The sequence below is a fragment of the Homo sapiens genome, chromosome 16 (genome assembly GCF_000001405.40).
Source record: "Homo sapiens chromosome 16, GRCh38.p14 Primary Assembly".
NCBI lineage: Eukaryota > Metazoa > Chordata > Mammalia > Primates > Hominidae > Homo > Homo sapiens.
Genome location: NC_000016.10, coordinates 29,973,249 through 29,992,266, shown reverse-complemented (window position 1 = coordinate 29,992,266; position 19,018 = coordinate 29,973,249). Strand labels below are relative to the sequence as shown.

General features: G+C 55.2%; 2 protein-coding genes across 15 annotated transcripts, besides 6 other annotated features; both read right to left on the bottom strand.

Moving 5' to 3' along the window:
• On the bottom strand, positions 6 to 18,399 carry TAOK2 (TAO kinase 2). Of its 14 annotated transcripts, none has more exons than XM_011545984.2 (19): positions 17,619 to 18,399; positions 14,363 to 14,529; positions 14,107 to 14,178; positions 13,914 to 14,015; positions 13,423 to 13,468; positions 13,197 to 13,293; positions 12,959 to 13,072; positions 12,759 to 12,850; positions 10,513 to 10,606; positions 10,327 to 10,408; positions 9,366 to 9,533; positions 8,935 to 9,216; positions 8,603 to 8,764; positions 6,689 to 7,054; positions 6,406 to 6,609; positions 5,763 to 6,002; positions 2,462 to 2,674; positions 1,301 to 1,483; positions 6 to 1,220 (listed from the first exon to the last, which is right to left on the bottom strand). In XM_011545984.2, exons 2-19 carry the CDS (start codon positions 14,492 to 14,494, stop codon positions 699 to 701), a joined length of 3,171 nt encoding a protein of 1,056 aa, XP_011544286.1. In that variant the 5' UTR covers positions 14,495 to 14,529; positions 17,619 to 18,399; the 3' UTR covers positions 6 to 698. The 14 variants fall into 14 exon arrangements, with proteins under 14 accessions (XP_011544286.1, XP_011544287.1, NP_004774.1 ...); XM_011545985.2 differs by having other exon boundaries at positions 8,935 to 9,213; NM_004783.4 differs by having other exon boundaries at positions 8,935 to 9,195.
• Positions 848 to 1,435: an enhancer, noted in NCBI's record as "H3K4me1 hESC enhancer chr16:30002153-30002740 (GRCh37/hg19 assembly coordinates)". NCBI's record gives its function as "activates a minimal SCP1, AML or CMV promoter by ChIP-STARR-seq in naive H9 embryonic stem cells {active_cell/tissue: H9 hESC(naive)}" and the evidence as "EXISTENCE:reporter gene assay evidence [ECO:0000049][PMID:30033119]".
• Positions 15,506 to 16,005: an enhancer, noted in NCBI's record as "H3K4me1 hESC enhancer chr16:29987583-29988082 (GRCh37/hg19 assembly coordinates)". NCBI's record gives its function as "activates a minimal SCP1, AML or CMV promoter by ChIP-STARR-seq in primed H9 embryonic stem cells {active_cell/tissue: H9 hESC(primed)}" and the evidence as "EXISTENCE:reporter gene assay evidence [ECO:0000049][PMID:30033119]".
• Positions 16,006 to 16,507: an enhancer, noted in NCBI's record as "H3K4me1 hESC enhancer chr16:29987081-29987582 (GRCh37/hg19 assembly coordinates)". NCBI's record gives its function as "activates a minimal SCP1, AML or CMV promoter by ChIP-STARR-seq in primed H9 embryonic stem cells {active_cell/tissue: H9 hESC(primed)}" and the evidence as "EXISTENCE:reporter gene assay evidence [ECO:0000049][PMID:30033119]".
• Positions 17,145 to 17,916: an enhancer, noted in NCBI's record as "H3K27ac-H3K4me1 hESC enhancer chr16:29985672-29986443 (GRCh37/hg19 assembly coordinates)". NCBI's record gives its function as "activates a minimal SCP1, AML or CMV promoter by ChIP-STARR-seq in primed H9 embryonic stem cells {active_cell/tissue: H9 hESC(primed)}" and the evidence as "EXISTENCE:reporter gene assay evidence [ECO:0000049][PMID:30033119]".
• Positions 17,309 to 17,438: an enhancer, noted in NCBI's record as "active region_10685". NCBI's record gives its function as "activates an Ori minimal core promoter by ATAC-STARR-seq in GM12878 lymphoblastoid cells {active_cell/tissue: GM12878}" and the evidence as "EXISTENCE:reporter gene assay evidence [ECO:0000049][PMID:35858748]".
• Positions 17,632 to 18,645, bottom strand: LOC124903762 (uncharacterized). The gene is made up of 2 exons (XM_047435036.1): positions 18,487 to 18,645; positions 17,632 to 18,270 (listed from the first exon to the last, which is right to left on the bottom strand). The coding sequence occupies exons 1-2, from the start codon at positions 18,643 to 18,645 to the stop codon at positions 17,632 to 17,634; spliced, it is 798 nt and encodes a 265-aa protein (XP_047290992.1).
• Positions 18,340 to 18,709: a silencer, noted in NCBI's record as "silent region_7346". NCBI's record gives its function as "represses an Ori minimal core promoter by ATAC-STARR-seq in GM12878 lymphoblastoid cells {active_cell/tissue: GM12878}" and the evidence as "EXISTENCE:reporter gene assay evidence [ECO:0000049][PMID:35858748]".

Sequence of the window (19,018 nt, the reverse complement as noted above, 5' to 3'; positions counted from 1 at the left end):
TGAGATCTGTTAGAATAACCAACAGTTTATTAAAAGCTTGCCTGGGGCTCTGTGCCAGCCCCACAGCTGAGAGGGGCTCCCACGACTGCCCCCCAGGCCTGGGAGCAGCCCCTTCCAAGGTCCTTCCCTTGTTTCCCCGCCCCAGCCCTGATCCCAATTAAAAAAAAAAAAAAAAAGATAAAGGACAAGACGGCACAGGACGTCAGACAGTTACGGGAAGAGACCCAGGCATCCTGACCCCAAGACCCCATCCTGATCCTTCCTGCCAGTAAGGTGGCCTCTCATTCTCCCTGCCTCAGGCCCCAGACCTGCTCTGCCCTGTGGCAGGTCTGAGGGCCTCACTGTGAGGGTAGTATAGTTCTCTGAATATAGTATGTCTAGACCCACCCTTCCCCTCCCCCAGGGGACTAGATGAATATTTGACACGCACATCTCCCTCCTTTCCTAGGTGGCGGAGGGAGACCCCTGGCACCATGGTAGGGAGGCGGGGCTCCCAGGCAGCCTTGAGGCACCTATCGCCAAGCTGGCCCTGGGCCACTGGCCAGCCCCAAGAAGCTCATGAGATGAGGAGGTCTGAGGGGAGCTGGAGCCTACATCTTGTCCCCTACCCTTGCAGGGGCCTCCAGCTCAGTGCCCTCCAGGGTCAGGCTCCACCCACCCCTGCCCTGCCCAGCTCATCTGCTCCTCCCCGCTGCACCTCAGGAATAGAAGTGGGAAGAACCATTGAGGATGTGGGAAGCGACACTGGTGCTGCGGCTCAGGGGCCCGGGCACCGCGGCAGCAGGGGGGCCCACATTCTCACTGCCACTGCCCCCCGAGGCTGCCCGCCGCAGGGGCTGGGGGCTGTTTCTTAGCAGCAGCAGGGCTCCGCCACGGGGTGTCCCACTTTGTGTGGGGGGCCCCAGCCAGTTTGGGGGGCCTGGGGGAGCCAGCAGAGACGGCTGACGCCAGGCTGGAGGGGGCATGCCTGGTGGAGGAGGGCCATGGCTCCAGTGTGCCCCAGAACGGGGAACGGGACGGGAGGGCCAGGCTGGGGCAGGGGGTGGAGCAGGATAGCCCTGGGCAGCAGCTTCAGCCGGGATGCCCCCCAGAGCCATGCTGGAGAAGCCCAGCCTCATGCTTTCCGCATCGAAGGCCTCGATCTCACGGGCCTGCCGCTCAAGCAGACTGCGGATTCGCTCGGAGCGTCCTGTCTGCAGGGCCAGCAGCTCCTCTTCCACCTGGGGCATCCGGAACAGAGGTTAGAGTCGGGGGCAGGAGCCCACCCTCCCTCCCCAGTCCTGGAGGCTGGGCCCCTTACCCGCTGCTCCAGCAGTGCCCGCCGCAGCGCGACCCTCTGCTCCAGCTCCCGCAGCTCCCTCTCGTGCTGGCTCTCTGTGCGGATCTTGATCTTGCTCTGGTAAGCGTTGAGCAGCTCCAGCTCCTGTTGAAGCTGCTGCCGAAGGGCCTGGAACTCTGCCTCCTGGGTCTCATCAAGCCGCAGCTGGGGAAGATGAACAACCAGTTGTAGGGATCTCCTCCCCCACCCCCACTATCCTCCCCTGCCCCAGGTAGGCCTGGGCCCTAAGGTTTCAAGAAGCAGCGGTCTCAACATCTATCAGAATGGAAGATGGTCATACCCTGTGGCACAGCAATTACACTGCAGAATCTATCCCCCAGGTATACTTGCACATGTGCTCGAGGTGTTCACGGAAGCGTTGTGATAGCAAAATACTGGAAACAACCTAAATGTCCACCAATAAGGGATGGGTTAAATAAATTATGGTACAGCCATACCATGGAAAATTCTATGCTGTAAAAAAAATGAGACAGGTGTACTGACAGGGGAAGATGTCCAAGAAATATTAAGTGGAAAAAAGAAGTTACAGAAAGTAAATGTAAAGTATGATTCCATCTGTGTTTAAAATTCATATAATTTTTCAAAATGTGCACTGAAAAAACACAAAATACAGTTAATTATTAACAAGTTACCTGGGAGAGGTGGGACTGGGTGAGAGAACAGCCTTGGGTGGGGCGTTTCCACTCTCCACCCTCTCCGCACATTTTAAGTGGCCCATTCCAGTGTTAGGTGTGATCATTTTTTTAGAACAGCAACTTTCAAAATCCTCCAGAAGTCTGAGTAAATGGGCTTGAGGGCCACACTCACTTTAATCTGCACCCTGTTTACCCATTAAACTAACTCAGGCCCAGGAAAAAAATAATAGCCACTCTTTTCCTTGGTGGTTCTTGGGAATAGGCACATGGCTTTGTCAAGACCTTAAGAAAATACTAAGAGAAAGAATAAAACCACTGAGGAGAATATGAAATAAATCATTGTGGAGAACACGAACAGAGGGAGAGTATGTGAGTTTCCCAAGTAAAAAAGCCCCAGCTCTGTGCATGCCCTGCACCGTCCATTTCTCTAAAGCAAAGTACAGAGCCTGGCCTCTAGCGCACTCCCTCCCTGGACCCCAGGCCTCACCGCCTGTGAGCTGAGCATCTCTGAGATGGACTGGTCATACTGCTCCGCCAAGATCGCCAGCTTGCGGGTCTGCTCTTCCTTGAGCCGCTTAAGGAGGCTCTTGTGCTGAGCTTTGGGCGTGGTCTCCAGCAAGTGTGCTCGCAGAGCCTTGTACTGCCGAGTCTGGATCTTACACGTCTCCTGGAACTGCTTCTTGATCTGCAGCTCCTTAGACTATGCAGTGGACGGATCAAGGGGAGATGGGGGCAGCGGGGAAGAGGAGGAGGAAGAGGAGGAAGAGGAAGAGGAGGAACAACCAGGGGAAATGGGGAGAAGAGAGAGAAGAGGAGAGGAGACAGAAGCAGAGACAGGGAGAGGGAGAGAAACAGAAAACATGTTAGACAGAGGGGGTGGGGGGAGCTGTATACAGACAGACAGACATGGAGAGGTGGGATCGTGTTGAGAGAGATCAGGAAGGTCTCGATGGGCAAGAGATGCAGAGAAGACAAGAGGTTCCAAGAGCACGTGCACGGAGTTGGGTGCGATACCCACGAGAAAGAACATCGGAGTTACTGGACAGGGAACTGAGGATCTTGGAAGCTCTGACCAGGCAAAGAGGGAGAGACTGTGACCTAGAGACAGAAGCACGTGAGCAAATATGAGAACGTGCACGAGAACAAGCGAGAAGAACCAGTCACACAAAACACCCATGAAGAAAGCAACACGACTAAGGACAGACACAGGAAGTCCCAGGTCCAGCAGCTCAGGGAGGAAGGCAGGGAAGGAGGAGAAGCACCGAGCTGAGAAATGGGTAAGAAGGGGCTGCCCCATTTTGGGCCGCAGAGGAGAAAGGGGCAAAGGAGGTGGCCAGAAAGGGCCTGACAAGTTCAACCGGCCAGCAGCTACCACCCTGACCAGATCCGCATTCCAGCCCGGCCCCTCACACACTCAGCTCCCACTCCAGGCCCACACTCAATCCTGCTGCCACAGCCTTCATACTCCGCCTGGTTGCCCCCAGCTCAGCACCCCCTACTGTGGAGGGTCTGCAGCCCCGTCCCCCAACCCACTAGGGTAATGCCTGATGCAGGAGAGCAATTTGGTCCCCTGCAGCCATGGTTGGGAGAAAAGGCAAGGGATGAGGAGACCAAGGGCCTGGAAACTAAGACCTCTGGAAGGAACCCGCAAACAGGCGCTCTGTGGGACCAAGAAGTTCGGTGAAGTTCTACAGGGGCCCAGACCCCAGAGCCGGTGGTGGTCATGGTGCAATGAAGCTATGAAGGCAGAGAGCATGAGGCTGGAGGAGTGAGGGGGCTGAGATAACGGAGATGGGGTGAAGAGGTCATGGAGCCGGGCCGAGGGTCAGCCTGGGGGCATACCGGGGAGGCTAGGCGGCAGGACAAAGCAGACAGAGGCAGCCTGGGCCAAAGGCACAGTTCCGCTCAGATATTTTATTTGTGTTTGTCTTTTTCTTTTTTTGGTGGGGGGAAGGGGACAGGTTGGAAGGGAGACAGAAAAACAAAATCAAAGAGGAGAAAAAAAACATGACTCTTCCCACCCTCCACCACCCCTGGCCCCAGGCCTGAGTCAATGAGGGTGAGGATGAGCACACACAGCGGGCGAACAGCAATAACTTAGGGGAGGAGCGCCAGGAGAACACAGAGTGACTGCTGGACTCCACAGCTGAGGAGGCTGCCTGTCTAGAGGTCCGAAGGGCTGGGCCTGGGGTAAGTGAGCAAACTGAGGAAGGTGGGTGAAAAGAGAGGACTAGGGACTGGAGAAACTTCACTGAGTCGTGGGAGATAAAGTGCTCAATGCTCTAGATTTGGGCTGGAAGGGCTGGAGTCAGCTACCTCCAGGGGGGCAGGGCCCGGGACTGGCGGGTGCGTGACCTCCGCCCGGCTAGAGTCCCTGGCAGTGGCTGGCGGGAGGCAGGGGGCCCTAGCTGGCGCTGGCTGCGTGGTAGTAGCCGGGGGATTCGGGTGGGCCGTTCACCCCGAAGCAGGCCCCAGCTGGCCAGTGTGTGGATGGCCCACGGGGGCAAGTGGGATGCTAAACCCTGGCTGGCCCGTGCCAGACGCCAGTTCCAGCCCTTGCACAGGACCCAGACCCTTGCCAACAGAGCTAATGGGTGTTGGGTGGTGCGGGGATTACGCCGCCGGGGCCCAGGGACGGGCAGGCGGCTGCGGAAGCCATCCTTGTTGGTTTTGGGGTACAGTGCAAACAGACCCCGGTCCCCCACAGCCCCACAGCCCTGCAGGGCCCGGAAGGCCATGGGTGACAGGCGCAGCAGAACCCGCAACCAGAGTCGAGATATGCCCCGGCGCACCCGGGGGCCCTGCTGCCGCACCCATCTGCCCCCCGCTGCCATAGCCACCAGAGGTAGAGCTAGGCCTGGCCAAGCTAAGAGCCAGGCAGCTCCAAGGCCCAGGGGAACACCCATGAGGCCTCGGCGCCAGCTCAGGCCCAGGACGGCCCCCAGTGCGGTACCCTGGGCCAGGAGTAGGAAAAGACTGGAGGGCAGGTGCAGGGCTGTACAAAGGAGCAGGTAGGAGGCCCCCAGACCCACCAGCCCCACCTCAAGGGCCAGCAGCGCTGCCTGCAGGCCACCCCCACCCTGGGCTGCCAGCAATGGAAGCAGCAGCAGCAGCAGGAGGGGCAGGAGGCCAGAGGAGGACCCCACTGCAAAGGAGAGGCCGGCCAGGAGGCCATGGGACAGGAGTCCAGGGAGCTGGCTGGCAGGGCAGGGCCTCAGGTGTGTTGGAGGGGGTTCAGGAGGGATGTCGGGGGAAGGACAACCATCTCCAGGATCCCTAGGGGTCCCAATCGGAGCCCCCTCTTCCTCTTCTTCCTCCTCCTCAGGGACGGGAGTCAGTGCTGGGCCCTGGACCCAGCCAAGCTCAAACTCCTCATCCAGAAGACTCTCATCCTCCTTCCCCCACAAGCTCCATGTCCCAGCCTCCTCCTGGCCAACAATGCTCCTCTCCTGGGGTACAAGGGAGGGCACCCTAAGCTCCTCTATCTCCTCAGGCAGACCCCAAACTTCCTCATCAACCAGGCTCCCATGTTTTTGTGGACTGGGACTAGGGGCTCCTGATTCTTCCCCCAGAATCCTCTGCTGCTTGGGCTCCAAAGTGGCCCCTTCCTTTCCCAGAATCCTTCTCTCTCCAACTGCTTCCTCCTCCTCGCCAAGCATTCTTTGGTCCAGGACTGCCTCCTGGCCAGGTGAGCAGGGCTGCTGTTCTATAGGGGTGCCTGTGTTGGGTGGGCCCAGAGCCCCAGGAATGGGGAGTGGAAGGCCCGGGGGGCGCTGGCCTGCACGTACTTTGAGGCTCTTGGGCTGCTGGCGAACCTGGGCCGCATGCTTCTGCCGCAACTCTTGCTCACGCCGCTTGTTGTACTCCAGCTGGTTGCCCAGCTCCGTCTGGTGCTGCAGGCGGGTGAGCTCAGCCCGCGTGCGCTGCACGGCCTGGAGCTGCCGCAGCTCCAGCTCCCGCGTGGCCTCGTGCTGCCGAAGCAGCAGTGCACACTCCAAGTCCTTCTGGGTCTGCTTCTTGTTCAGGTCCTGAGGCAGAAGAAATGCAGGGCCCGGGGCCTGGTCAGTATCAAGGAAGTGAGAGGCCAGGGCTCCTTGGCAGAGGGAGCTGGGGATGGCGGAAGAAACACAGGGCCCAGGGCCTGGTCAGTATCAAGGAAGTGAGGGGCCAGGGCTCCTTGGCAGAGGGAGCTGGGGATGGCAGGAGATGAGGGTGTAGGGGAGGCAAGCTCCTCCCTGGCCTGGGAAAAGAGGCCTAAGGAAATTCTGGCAGGGTCTGTTGGGGATGAGAAGTAAAAGGGGCACTGAAGCAAAGCTGAACTGTAACACTCGAGGGCCAAGGAGAAAGAAGACAAGAATGAGGAAAATGGAAAAGGGTGGGTCCCTGGGATCCACGAGTGAGCGGGAGGGGAACAGAGATTGGGATGCCTACCTCCCGCAGCAGGTCCTGGTCCAGGCTGTGCCGAGCCAGCAACATCTTGCGCTTGTACTGGCGACACTGCAGCTCAAAGTACTGGCGCTGCCGCCGCAGCAGCCCTGCTTCCTCCTCCGCCTGGCACTGCTGGAGCTGCTCCTTCTGCCGCAGCAGCCACTCGGCCTTCTCCCGCTTGGGAGTGCTGGGGTTCTCCTGGAGCTCCTGGGCGAGTGCAGAGGGAAGCAGGGTCAGGACCCACCTGGCTCGCCATCGGCTCCGCCCCCAAGCAGCCCTAGCTCACCTCCTTCAGCTGTTCCTTGCGAAGTTTGTAGGTCCGCTTCTGTGCCTCCAGCAGGGCAGCCAGCTCCTTCTTCTGCTGCCCAAGGATGTGCTGCTGGAACTTCCGCTCCTCGGCCTGGGCAGCTCGTGCCTCCTTCTCACCTATGGCCTGGTGCCGCCGGGCCAGCTTTTCTGCCTCTGCCCCAAAGCCAGCCCGCTGCGCCTCAAGCTCCCGCTGCAGCCGTGCACTGTGCTCCTCCCGTTCACCCCTCAGCCGTGACTCCAGGGCCAGCAGCTGCTTCTGGTGCTGTCGTCGCATCCGCTTATAGCCGCTCAGCTGCTCCCGCAGCGCAGAGTCCTGCTCATGCTCCTGGATCTGACGGCTGACCTGGGGAAGGAGAGAGGGTGAGAGCTGGGGCTCAGCCTGGCCCCTAGTTAATTAACACAAGGGGTCTTCCGTGGGGAAGAGCATGGGTTTTCAACTCATGGGTTTCATTCTCATTTAACACCTTCCTCACACACGGCCACTCTAGCCTGTTTCCTCAACTGGATAATGGTGATATTATCTACATCACAAGTTGGTGTGGCCGAATGATAAAAGGTGGCGAGCACAGGGCCTGGCACAAAAGTAGGAACAATCCATACTAATTTGAAACAGTGAGTCAGACATACCTGGGATCAAATCCCAGCTTTGCCACTTACCAAGCATGTGATCTCAAGTAAGTTAACTTCTCAAAGCACCAGTTCCCTCATCTGTTAAATGGGGAAATAATACCTCCTCATAGGGGCTGTGGGGTAAGTTCGGACTCTATCTAATAAGTGTTGGCTTCCTTCCCCTTCAGCAAACATGGTCGGCCTATCACTCCCCAGGTATTGAGGTGGGATCGGGGCCACAAGATGCTGGAATAACAAGAACACTGGGCTTGGACACCTTCATCCAAAGTCTGATCTCAGGTCTCATTCTCAATTGACTCTATGAGTGGCTCTCAAACTAGTCCCGGCAGCCAAGCCCCTGGCAGTCAAGACCTCTCAGCACAGTACCGCACAACACCATGGGATCTGAAGAATTGTTGGAACACAACCAGCACCAAGCAGAGGCCATAAGAACATACTAGACTTAATCAGTGGCCTCTAAGGGGATTGTTGACGCTCAAATGCAGCTCAGCAGGAACGTGATCTAAAAACATAGATGAAAAACTATGTTTTATGAAAAGCCTAAACACTTTTTCCTGTGAACTGAGAAAGACTGCCATGAGTTGATTTTAGGAGAGGACTAAGGGCCTGCTTACAGGAGCAGAGAGCCACCAAAGGCACTGGGGCAAGTGGCCCCTCTGAGCCACAGGTGCCTCATTTCTCCAATGGGATCTTACCCTTCCCCTCCCAGGGGGGCTGGGAGGGTTAACACAGGCCTGTGTGTAAGCCTGAGAGCTAACTGCTGGCATGAGACAGATATCTGAACACCATCCCTGCCCTCTGGGGCACAGAATCTGGCAAACCTATCATGATGCTGTTCAGGACCACCCAAGCACAGGGCACCCCCGGCACAGGGCTCCCCAGCACTGGACACCCCCAGCACAGGGCTCCACAGGCACAGGGCTCCCCCAGCACTGGGCTTCCCCAGCACACAACTGTGAAGCATCTGACTCACCAGAGGAGCCTGGGAAGGCAACCCAGGAGATGTCAGTTAAGTCAGGCCACAAAAACGGAGTAAGAGTTTGCCAAGCTAGAAACACCCAGATTGGGCCATATGACCAAAACAGTCCACTGGGAAGAGGAGGGAAGCAGGAGGGTTAAGGGGAGCAGGCAGGAGCCAGCAACAGAAAATGAGGGTAGAATCCAGACTCAATCCCATGCCACAGGGAGGAAATCATTTCTAGACTTAAAAAGACTTAAAAAACAGACAGCGAGCAGGCTGAGTGAGGATGGCTACACTCACCAGGGAGGCGGTTCGGATGGTGGCAAAGTGGTCTCGGTTACGGCAGTAGGCCCGGCGGCGGGCGGAAGAGGTGGTGGAAGTGGGAGCTGGGGCTGCAGGCGGCTGGAGAGGGCTGGGGGTTATCTCTGGCTGGTAGGGGTCATCATATAGGTTGTCAGAGCCCTAGAGGGAGATAGAAGGAACACCCAAGGCTCAGAGGCCACTGGGTCCAAAGAGAGCTACCTGAGGACAGCCAATCAGACTCAGAGGAGTGCTGCACTTAGGGAAGGAGGGCGAAGACCCAGGCAGTTCTAGAGCAGGTGGCTCGGGTCCCCCAAGGGTGAGCTGTGTACCGGCAGCCGGTGGATAATGGAGCTGTGAGAGGTGACTGTGTGCTCCCCCTCCTGCATCATGGCCATCTCCCGGGCTTCAGGGCCTTCTTCCTCCTCCTCCTCTTCCTCCTCCTCCTCCTCCTCTTCCTCGTTGTCTGAGGCATCTGCTAGGCTGTTGACGGAGCTGCTCTGGCTGGAGGCGCTGATGGACATGCTGGGCACTGAGTGGCTACTCTCGAGGCTGGTCAGAGTCCCGGCCCGGTGCATGTAGGGCTCGGCCTCCTGCGAACAGGGCGTAGGCTGCTGGACAGGGAAGGGGAAGCCCTGGGGCATATGCATGGAGGTAGCATGGGAAGATGGTGGTGTGAGTAGGGCTGGGGAAGGGGCCAAGCAACTGCAGGGGGCAGGCACACATGGGGTATAAAGAGGGGTGTTAGGGCAAGCTGGGTCACCTCTTCCTCCTCTGGGGCCTCGGCACCAGGGCCGTTGGGTGCCTCTTGGAACAGGATCTTCTTCATCTTGCGGTACTGCAGGTTGTCCAGCTCCCGCACGGCATCCTTGGTCCTCTGGATCAGGTCCATGATGACTGTGGGTGGCCGCTCCCGGAGCACAAAGCGGTGCTGGGGGAAGAGGGCACTGAGGTCTGCTGCCAACTCCCCTTCCCCCCACAACCCACAGCCCTTGGCATTCCCTCAGGCCTGAGGCACTCTTCTGGGGCCCACGCCCACCACGGGTTGATGCTGGCCTTATCCCAAGCCCTTCTCTCACAATTTTCTGTACCACCCAGTACCTACTCCCCAGACAGACTCTTCTTCCTCTAAGCATGGCTGACAGGCAGGGACAGTCAGGAGAACTGGATTCTCGTCCAGCTCCTCTACTAAAGGGCTATGTGACCTTGGACATGTCATGAGGCCCCTCTGGGCTTCATACAGTATCCTACAATTATAAAACAAGTGGGTCCAACTACATAATCTGAAGTTTCCAACTACGGCTCCTCAGGCCCCCATGGGTCTGTGAAGGGAATGGGGCCCCTCCATTTTTGATAATTCAAAAAACACCTAAGGGAAATCATACATTTACCCATGATAAGGCTACACAGGCTTTTGGCTTGCATTACATCAGATCAGTGGGGCAACCCTGGTTATCACATGCTGACCAGAAGCTCTGGCTGGCAATTATATAAATCTTTGATTAATAAAAGAAGGGAAAACAGTTTATTACTTAATAAATTAAGGCAGTCTGGTAGACAAAATCTTGTAAAACACAGAGTCCACTAGGCATTGGGGATGGGGTGGGAATTCATCAACGAAGCTCTTGGTGGAGGAGGAACTGGGAACCACTAATTTCCCTGGGGGTTCTTGTGGCTGTAACAAGCTACAGTTCCAGGAGAATGCTAGGCCAGCAGGCCCTCACCTTCAGGAGAACCTCTGAGGTTGGTCTGTCTTGAGGGATTTTCTGAAGACAGGAGTCGACAAAATTCCGGAAGTACTCAGACCTGAAAGTCACAGGAGGGTGGGAGAGGGGTGGGGAAGGCATGAGTCAGGCATCCATACCCCATGGCCTAACGCCTGGGCCCAGATTCGGAATCTCAGTCCTCACCAGTGTCCTGACTGGAGCACGGGGGATTCGTTCTGTGCAATGTGGTATAAGGCACTCATCGCATTCATGTTAAAGAGCGGTGGTTTCCGTTCAGCTACAGAAAAAGGTGAAAGGGAAGAAGGTGAGAGGTGGCAGGGGGTAGAGGACAATGGAATGGAACTGAGACGACTTGGGTTCAAACCCCAATTCCTTGACTTCCTTGCCACATGACCTTGAGAAGTTCCCATCATCCTGTTGCGTCTCAGTTAATTCCTTCCTCTGTAAAATACAACACCCATCCTCTCCACTGCACACGGGTGGAATAGGGGTCAAAGAAAATAACATCCACAAAAGCAGTAACGAAGGCAGAAGGACAGCCATTCAGTTATCACCCCAACTAATATTTCTTAGGTGCCAAAGGGAGCAGATAACTTGATAATTGCTATGGGGAAGATAAAAACAAGAATTAGGCCCCACCCTCAAGGAACCTCCAGTCTAAAAGATTAAATAGGACTGAAAAAATAACATCAAAGTATTAACTGGTATAAGAGGGAAACAGGGAAGTGGCTGGGAAGTTGAGAGTATGCAGTGAGCCTTCAAGCTAGCATATCTTCAGGGAATTCAGAGAAGGGCTTTGTAAAAAGCCCTGAGATTAGAAAGGTAAGTGCAAGCTAAGAGTCGCTAAGAGTCCCTTGTAGCCCAGACAAATGTCATGTTGTTTTGGCCTAAACGGTGATTTTTAAAATTAACTGCCAAAAGTAATAATCAAATAATAATACAAGTTTCCAGTTTCTCCTTAAGAATTAAATCTGGTGAAATGGAGTCTACATTACTGCATAACAATGGTCTGGAGATAAGCATTAGCTGCCCTCTTTCTATGGAAACAGCAATCTCCAGTTTGCCACATCCTTCTCCACACTGCTTCCCTGATATTGACTTAGTATGAGTTGACATTTATAATCAGACTGATATATATTTTTTTCAATAGTAGAGTAATATTTCTCTGTATCCACATCTCTTCCAAAAACTAGAAATAAAATGGACAGATCTAGCTTTTTCTTATACTTGGGTCCGTTTCTTACATTTTTCATCAACTGTCTGGGCCTGGCATCTAATGGTAAATGGAGACTGTGAAGATGGAGGAGAAGGGCTCGTCCAAATCTCTGACCTCGGGCAGAGGACCCAATACGAACCAAGGCAAGGAAGTGGAAGAGTTCATGACACACTCAGAGGGTGGAGCCCATGAAGGAAAGGGCCAGCATTTACGAAGCAAAGCCTCTAGGTTGGTGGGAGGAAGGATGGGGATGGCTTCAGTCTTGAAGGCAACAGGGGGCCACTCATGGCTCCAAACAGGGAGTGAAATGACAGCACTGAGCTTAGGCAGACCTCTCTGGCATCAGTACTTAAGACAGACTGGAAGGGAGAAGAGACTGGAGAGATCACTGCAGGAGGCTGTTGATAAGAGAAACTAACAGCAACTCTTAGGCAACTGTTTTGTGCCTGGCATTGTGTTGGAAGCCTTATAAAGGTTACCTACCTCATTAAAGAATTGTTTCAATAGTGCTGGCTGACAGAGATGAGAACCTTGGCATGGCTTCAAGGCCTTAGGAACTCACTTGGACCTAACTCTCTGGCCTTATCCTTCAATATTCTCTGCATTACATGCTAGGTTCCAAATAACTGAAGCTAGTCCCAGTTCCCCAGGCCTGCACTTACCTCTAGGCCTCTCACATGCTGTTCTCTCTGCCTGGAAAGCTCTTCCCTACATTCTGCAAACAGCTATTATTTATCTTGCAGGTTGGCTTCAATATTCTCCTACAAGGAGGCCTTCTTCAGCCCCTAAACTAGGTCAAGTCCCCTGTTTTACATTTGAACCGCTCCTGTAACTTCTCCACACAGCGTTCATCACATTGAAAGAAAACATGCCTGCCTGGTTTCCCTAAATCAAATGTAAGTTCCATGAGGGCAGGATTTTCATTCACTGCTATCCCTCCAGAATCACAGTCCATGGCACAGCACATGGTGGGCACTAAGAAAAGATTCAGAACCAGGGTAGTGGACAGGAAGAGATGAATGCTACAAAATCTCTAGGCCTAAGAGCTGGCAGAATTTGCCAGCTGCCTGTATTGGGCTCCAGGGTAGAGTCACAACGGACAGGAACTTGGAGGCCTGGGATCCCATCCCTAGGAGAAGGGGGTAGTCCGGAGTCTGGGAACTAACAGGAAAGAATGGAAAAGATGATGAGGGAACAGGGAGGATGTTCTTACCCAGCTCGATGCAGGTTATCCCCAAGGACCAGACGTCCACTTTGCCATCGTACTGCCCCTCATCCATGGCCAGGATCACCTCGGGTGCCATCCTAGGAGAATGGTCAGGAGAGAGAGGCAAATCACCCGCCGAGACCCTGTCACTCCTACTCCCAACATCCCTGGGAGGTCTCTCCACTCACCACCACTCACTCACTCACCAGTATGGGGTGCCCACGAAGGAGTTGGCAGGTGCCATGATGGACGCAGAACCAAAGTCCCCTAGCTTCACTAACCCTGGCTCTGACAGCAGGATGTTTCCAGCCTTCACATCCCTGCCAGAGGCAAAGTACAGGGATGAGACATGTGTCTCAAGAAAGCTAGGCAGGGGCAGCCCAGCTAAGTGACAGGTGGTGCAGATAGCACTCCCCTCCCAGGCACTGCCGGTGCTGCTTGTACCTATGGATCATGTTGTGGGAGTGCAGATATGCCAGGCCCTGAAGCGCCCCGTGGGTCACAGCTGCGATCTCTACCTCCTGAAGGGGTTTCTTGTGCACTGGAGAGTGAGGAAGAACATCAACCCGAGGGAGCGCAAGGGTGGGACTGGAATAAACTCCCCTTAACCCTTCCCTATGGCTCCCCTGCTCTTCTCCCTTCTCCACTTATTGGCCTATCAGTCACTTACCTTCTAGAAGGTCAGAAGCTGAGCCCAGGCAATACTCCATTACCAGCTAAGGAAGAGACAAGGGTCAGAGATCAGAGTCTCCTGGGCAGGGACTCAAAACAGAGCTTCCTTGACTGTCCTGTACTCAAGCTATGTCCCCGGGGTGATGACAGGGAGGAAGCGCAACTGGAGACAATGAGGGGGTGGTGGGAGAGTTTCTAGAGTCTGGGCCCAAGACATTCACCACTGCCCATCTGAATCCCTTCAAACTCCCATTCAATCTCCACCTTCTCCAGCCCACAGTGACCTGTCCCACCTGCTAACAGCCTGTGTCACTGAGCCAGGCTTTTGCTCAGTGGGTATGTCTGAGGACTAAAGCGGTCAAAAGAGACTTCCTCCTTCCCAAGATCCCACAACAGCACCACGAACAGGGACCACCTAAGAGACTGGACTACGATAAGGACGGGCATGAATAGGAGTAAAGATCAGGCCAGAATCTGGCACCAGCTCACCCAAGCCGTGTGCTCCCTCAGGTAACAGCCCCGGTACTGAATGGTGTTGGGATGCCGGAGCTTCTGTAAGAACCGCACCTCCTTGATGATGTCTTGCCATTTCTAGGGGGTCAGGGTAGGCAGAGGTTACCCAGCTTGCATCTTGAGACAGGAGTCCCCTGTCCCCAACCTGGCTGTATTGCACCTGGCCCACCTCATTGGACTGCTTCCCACTGTAGGACATCTTCTTGATGGCCACCACCTCACTATTCCGGACATCCCGGGCCTAGAGGACCAGACCAGAAGGTGTTGAAGGCCCCATTGAGAGCCGGGCATGGGAAGACTTGCTGGCCCAGCAAGAGAAGGCAGGAAAGACCAGTGTGATGGAGTAGTGTGCAAGGGCTGTTGGGAAGTCCACAGGGATAGGAAGAGTCCCCATCCCTATTACACCCTCCCAAGACCCAACTCACAAAGTATACGGCTCCAAAGCTGCCATGGCCAATTTCCCGGAGGTCAGAGAAGAGCTTTTCTGGGTCATCCTTGAAGAAGAGCTCAGCCACATCTGGGTCCTTCAGGCTCCCGGCCCGGCCCCCAGCTGGCATGGTGGCCCCTGGGGGCCCTGAGAGTGGGGCCTGGCCTGAGGAATGGAAATGGGACCCTTAGAGATCAAGGATTGAGCCTTCAGGGAGAGGAAGGGACCCATCAAGTTTCTGCCATCTCCTCCCCTCATTCCCTGATGAGGAGGAGGCACTGCTGAGGAAGGGGAGGGGGAGATTAGGAACAACATCAAAGCTCCAAAAAATGAAGTTGCCCTGGCAACCAGATCACGCGGGCTGGGTCCCTGGAGTCCCTAAAACTGCTAGGAAGATTCTGGGAAGCTAAGTATCCTCACCACCCCCTTCAGTGCTCAACAAGTTCTCATTTCCCTATAGCCCCTGTATCTCCCCTCAAGGATAAAACATTCTGCTTCCCAGCCAGCACTCCAGAGCCCCAAGTGTCCTGTCCCATAAGTCCTATACCCCAACTGTTTCCAGGCACCTTTCTGTTCCCCTTGGCGCTGAGGCCCCCTCCTCCCTCAACCTCTCACACCCTGGAAGAGAACAGGAAATGGCCAGGCCGGAGGCGGTGGAAATCCGTCCATTGTTAGAAGTGGGTACTGGCCCAGAGGAGCCCGCAAAGTCACTCTCAAAAAAGTCAGGGGGAGATCTAGAATGGGAAGAATAGGGATATAAATGGCATCTGGCTATGAGGGCCTCTCTGTGCTCTGGGCCACCTTACTTGTCCTGTCCAACTGCATAAGCATCACACACAGGTACAGGACATTTGCAGGGTACAAATAACATTTACTGAGTACCTTACGTGCATTATCTCTATTCAGTCCTCACTACAACCTTATGAAGCAAGTACTATGATTTCCCCTATCTTACAGATAAAGAAACAGGCTCAGCAAGGTTAAGTGCCTTGTCCAAAGCTGGTCCTCCATCACTATGATTTCAGAGCAGCCCTTCGAAACAGGCAGGGCAGAATCATGATCACCATTTCCTAGGTGAGGTCACTGAGGCACAGAGAAGAAAAAGGACTTCTCCAAGGTCAGAGAACAGGACCTTCGGCTCCCCGGTTAGGCCTGTATCCATTACTCTCTCAGCTGTCACCCCAAGCTCAGCTCCCCTCTTGCAGGAAGCCTGTCCTGACCACTCCAGCCATTGGGAAGAGCACCTAGGGCACCCAACCAAACACCCGGAGAAAGTTCCTGCAGGATACCAGAACCAAAACCCTCAAGGAGATTCCAAGACAGGCTCCAGCCTAAGCACTTGTCAGAATTTAGGCACAAAGGAGCCTTCAGCAGAGCTGGACTCCTGGGGCAGAGTTCTAGCTACTCAAAAGCACCTAACAATTTTAGCATGTAATTTATTCTGTCATGCATTGTTTCCTGTTGTGTTGTTAATTTTGTCTCAGCCCAACTGGAAGCTGGAGGGCAAGGAGGGAGCCTGACTCTCCAGTGGGCCCCCAGGGTGCAGAGGGCTCAGAATAGCCTGGGAGACTGAGTGATTGCTCTCTGCTCAGCCCTCAGCAGCTCGCAGGTTGCTCAAAGCCGGCCCTTTTCTCCCTTCTGCCAGCAACAGTGCCAAGCACCCCTCACCAGCACCACACACCCACACACAAAGGCAGGTGCTCTCAACTTGCCAAAGGAATCTTCCTGACCTCTTTACCAACACAAGGCCCCAGAATGCTAACCTAGGCCACACGGAGGGGTGCCACCCACTGGCAAAACATCATGCAGGTCCCCTTCCCCATAATAACAACAAACACTTGAACAATAACCAAGGTCTGTGCTAAATCATAACCACCTTCCAAAACGAACAATGTTATCTCCATTCTACAGATGAGGAAACCCGTATCTATCTGTTCCTAAGCTATGCTACCAGTACATCCCGTCTGCAATGTACAGCAACAGGGCTTTAAATAAGTTCCTTCCAGTTCTTGGTCTTCTCTTCAGTGAAATGGATTACAGCATGGAGCTGTTGTTAAGATTTTAATGAGATCTCATACTTAGGAACACCATGCAGACACTCAGCATATGGATTTTTCCTTCCCTGCCTCCAAGGTCCCCACAAAGCTTTAATCCTTTGGGGGATCATTCTACCCCAACAGCTTGGCTTGAACAGTTAAAAGATGCCACTAGTGCTACCATTTGTCAGGAGAGAGCCCTCTCAGGAATCCAGGCCAAACCCTGGGATTGGGGTAAAGATGAAGGTCACAGTGGATAGAAAACTCCATGAGGCAGAGGCAAAAGCCAGAGGCTCCCATCAGGAAAAGCTTCTGAGTAGAGCCCTCCTGGAAAGGAAGCTCATCTCATCCCCATTCTTAAACCTCACCCCAGCCTGGACTCCTAGGGACCCCTGGCCGAGCCCAAACTCAGAGGAAAAGAGATGGCAAGAACCAGGCATGCATCAGGGAAAGATGTGATTGAGGACTTGAGTTCAAATTCTGGTTCTGCCACTGTGTGACCTTGGGCAACCTCTCTCGGCCTCAACGTTCTCAACTGTAAAATGGGAAGATGCCAATAAAAGAGGCCCCCACAGGGTGAATGCGGGGATGTCACATGAGAGAATGGCTGTCAAAGCACTTTGTAAAAGACAGATCGTTTGACAAATGGATGAGATTATTGACACCATCACAGCAAGAGGTTGGAAGGTAACTGCAGCTGGGGGAAAACATTGCCAGGCACCTCCAAGCACACACACACACGCATACACACAAACACATATACACACACTTCCTTGCAAGGACAAGAAATCCAACCAGACCAGGCCTGAAAAGCAGATAAGCAGACCCACCATGGGAATCAGAGGCATGGGAATCAAAACCACAGAATAGCCAGGAGAACGGGACATATCAGGGAGGAGAGGTGGCTGTGAGGGGCAAAGTGAAGGAGAGAAGACTGAAGTGCAAATCCATCTGATTAGCTGAAGCACCCTAGGGTGTGAACGCCGGTGACATCAGAGACCCTGTCACCTGAGGTCCCCCACCAACCAGACACAATGAAGGGAAGAGGAAGGGGAAGGGGGTGGCAACAGAAGGCAAGGCTAGCCAGAGGCTGACCACTCGCTCAGCTGGGCTTCCCCATCCTGAGAGGGCCTACCCAAGTCCAGCTTCTCAGAAAGGCGCACCCTTTCTTCTCAGAACTAGACACAGGGACCCGCGCCCCTGCACCCCGTGTCTCACCTGGTAGGGGTCACTATGGTGCCCCAGCGCCTCCGCTTCCGCCTGGGGTCCTCCAGCGGCTCTGCCAAGCAGGGAGAGGGGCAAGGAGACCTTTCCCCTTGCCACCTCTTCCTCGGCTTTCGCCCTTCCTGAGGGGCGGGCCCGGGAAGCCTCCCCTGGAGGGGAGGGGGTGACAACCTAATCTGACCTCGCGGTCCAGTCCTCCCCCTCGTCGAGGGCGACAGCTGCCGAATTCCGGATTTCTGATTGTGGGGTCTGAACCCCGAATATCTGAACGGGATGGAGACTGAATCCGATATTTGAACGCCCGGGGAATGAACCCCGGATACTGGTGCACGCAGGGGCCTGAACCTGATATTTGAAATTCTATGAAACAGAGACCCAGGTTTAGAGAGGTTGGGACCCGAGTCCCGGATATCTGGACTATGAGGACTGTTACCCGGGTATCTGAGAAAGGAGGAGGGGCAAAGCCTGGAAATTTGGGACCCAGGGGCCTGAGCTGTAGGTCTTCGGCCACCGACTGGGGGCCCACCCCGAGGACGTCCGGCCGCACGGCCCCTCTCACGCCGGGGTCCGAGGGTGACAGCCCCCACTCCCGCCCCGGCCTCCTCCCTCTCCCTTCTCTCTTCCGAGAATAGCTGAACGATTGTAGCTAAGGTGCTGCTGACGGTCCCCGCGCCCTCTCTGCCTCTCCTCTTCTCCGTCTCAGCCTCTCTCCGCACCACAGCCCCGGTCTCGTCCCGGTCTCCCTCTCCCTCTTCCTCCCAATTCCAAGATGGAGACCGGGCGGGAGCGCGCAGGCGCGGTAGGGACGCCGGGCTAAAGGGGGCGGGGGCGCAGAGGACTCAGCCCCGCCCTCTCTCCTCACTGCCGCGGCCTGGGAGACCGGCAGCCGCCAAGCCCGAGTGCGCGCCCGCCCCGCCACGCGGACCCCAGGCCGGAGGAGGCGGGGAGAAGAGCTAGACTTGCAAGGGGAGGAGCCCGGCACTCTGTCCCACGACTGGCGGTGGACAGAGCTGCAGCGCATGCGCTCGCCCCGCCTTCGCTCTGAGCCCGAGCTTGTTGCTAGGGGAAGCTTTGAGGGGGCGCGGGTGGACGGACAGCAGCGGCGATCTGCGACTGCGCGCAGGGTGGAAGTTGGGAGGGGCAAAGGAAGCTGCTGCTGGGCGCGGAAAAGGCGGGAAAATAGACTGCTCCGAGGTTAGCAACCATCTAACCTGGAAAAGGGCCTCCAAGTGCGAGGAATCTTTGCGCGTCGACGCTGGGAAAACTCAATCGGTCAAATCTCTTACGGAAATTGAGGCGCTGCAGGTTGCAAGACTTGCCAAGGTCACAGTGCATTTATGTCACAGCATTTCCATGACCTGACACCCCACCCGCCCAACTAACTGTAATTATCC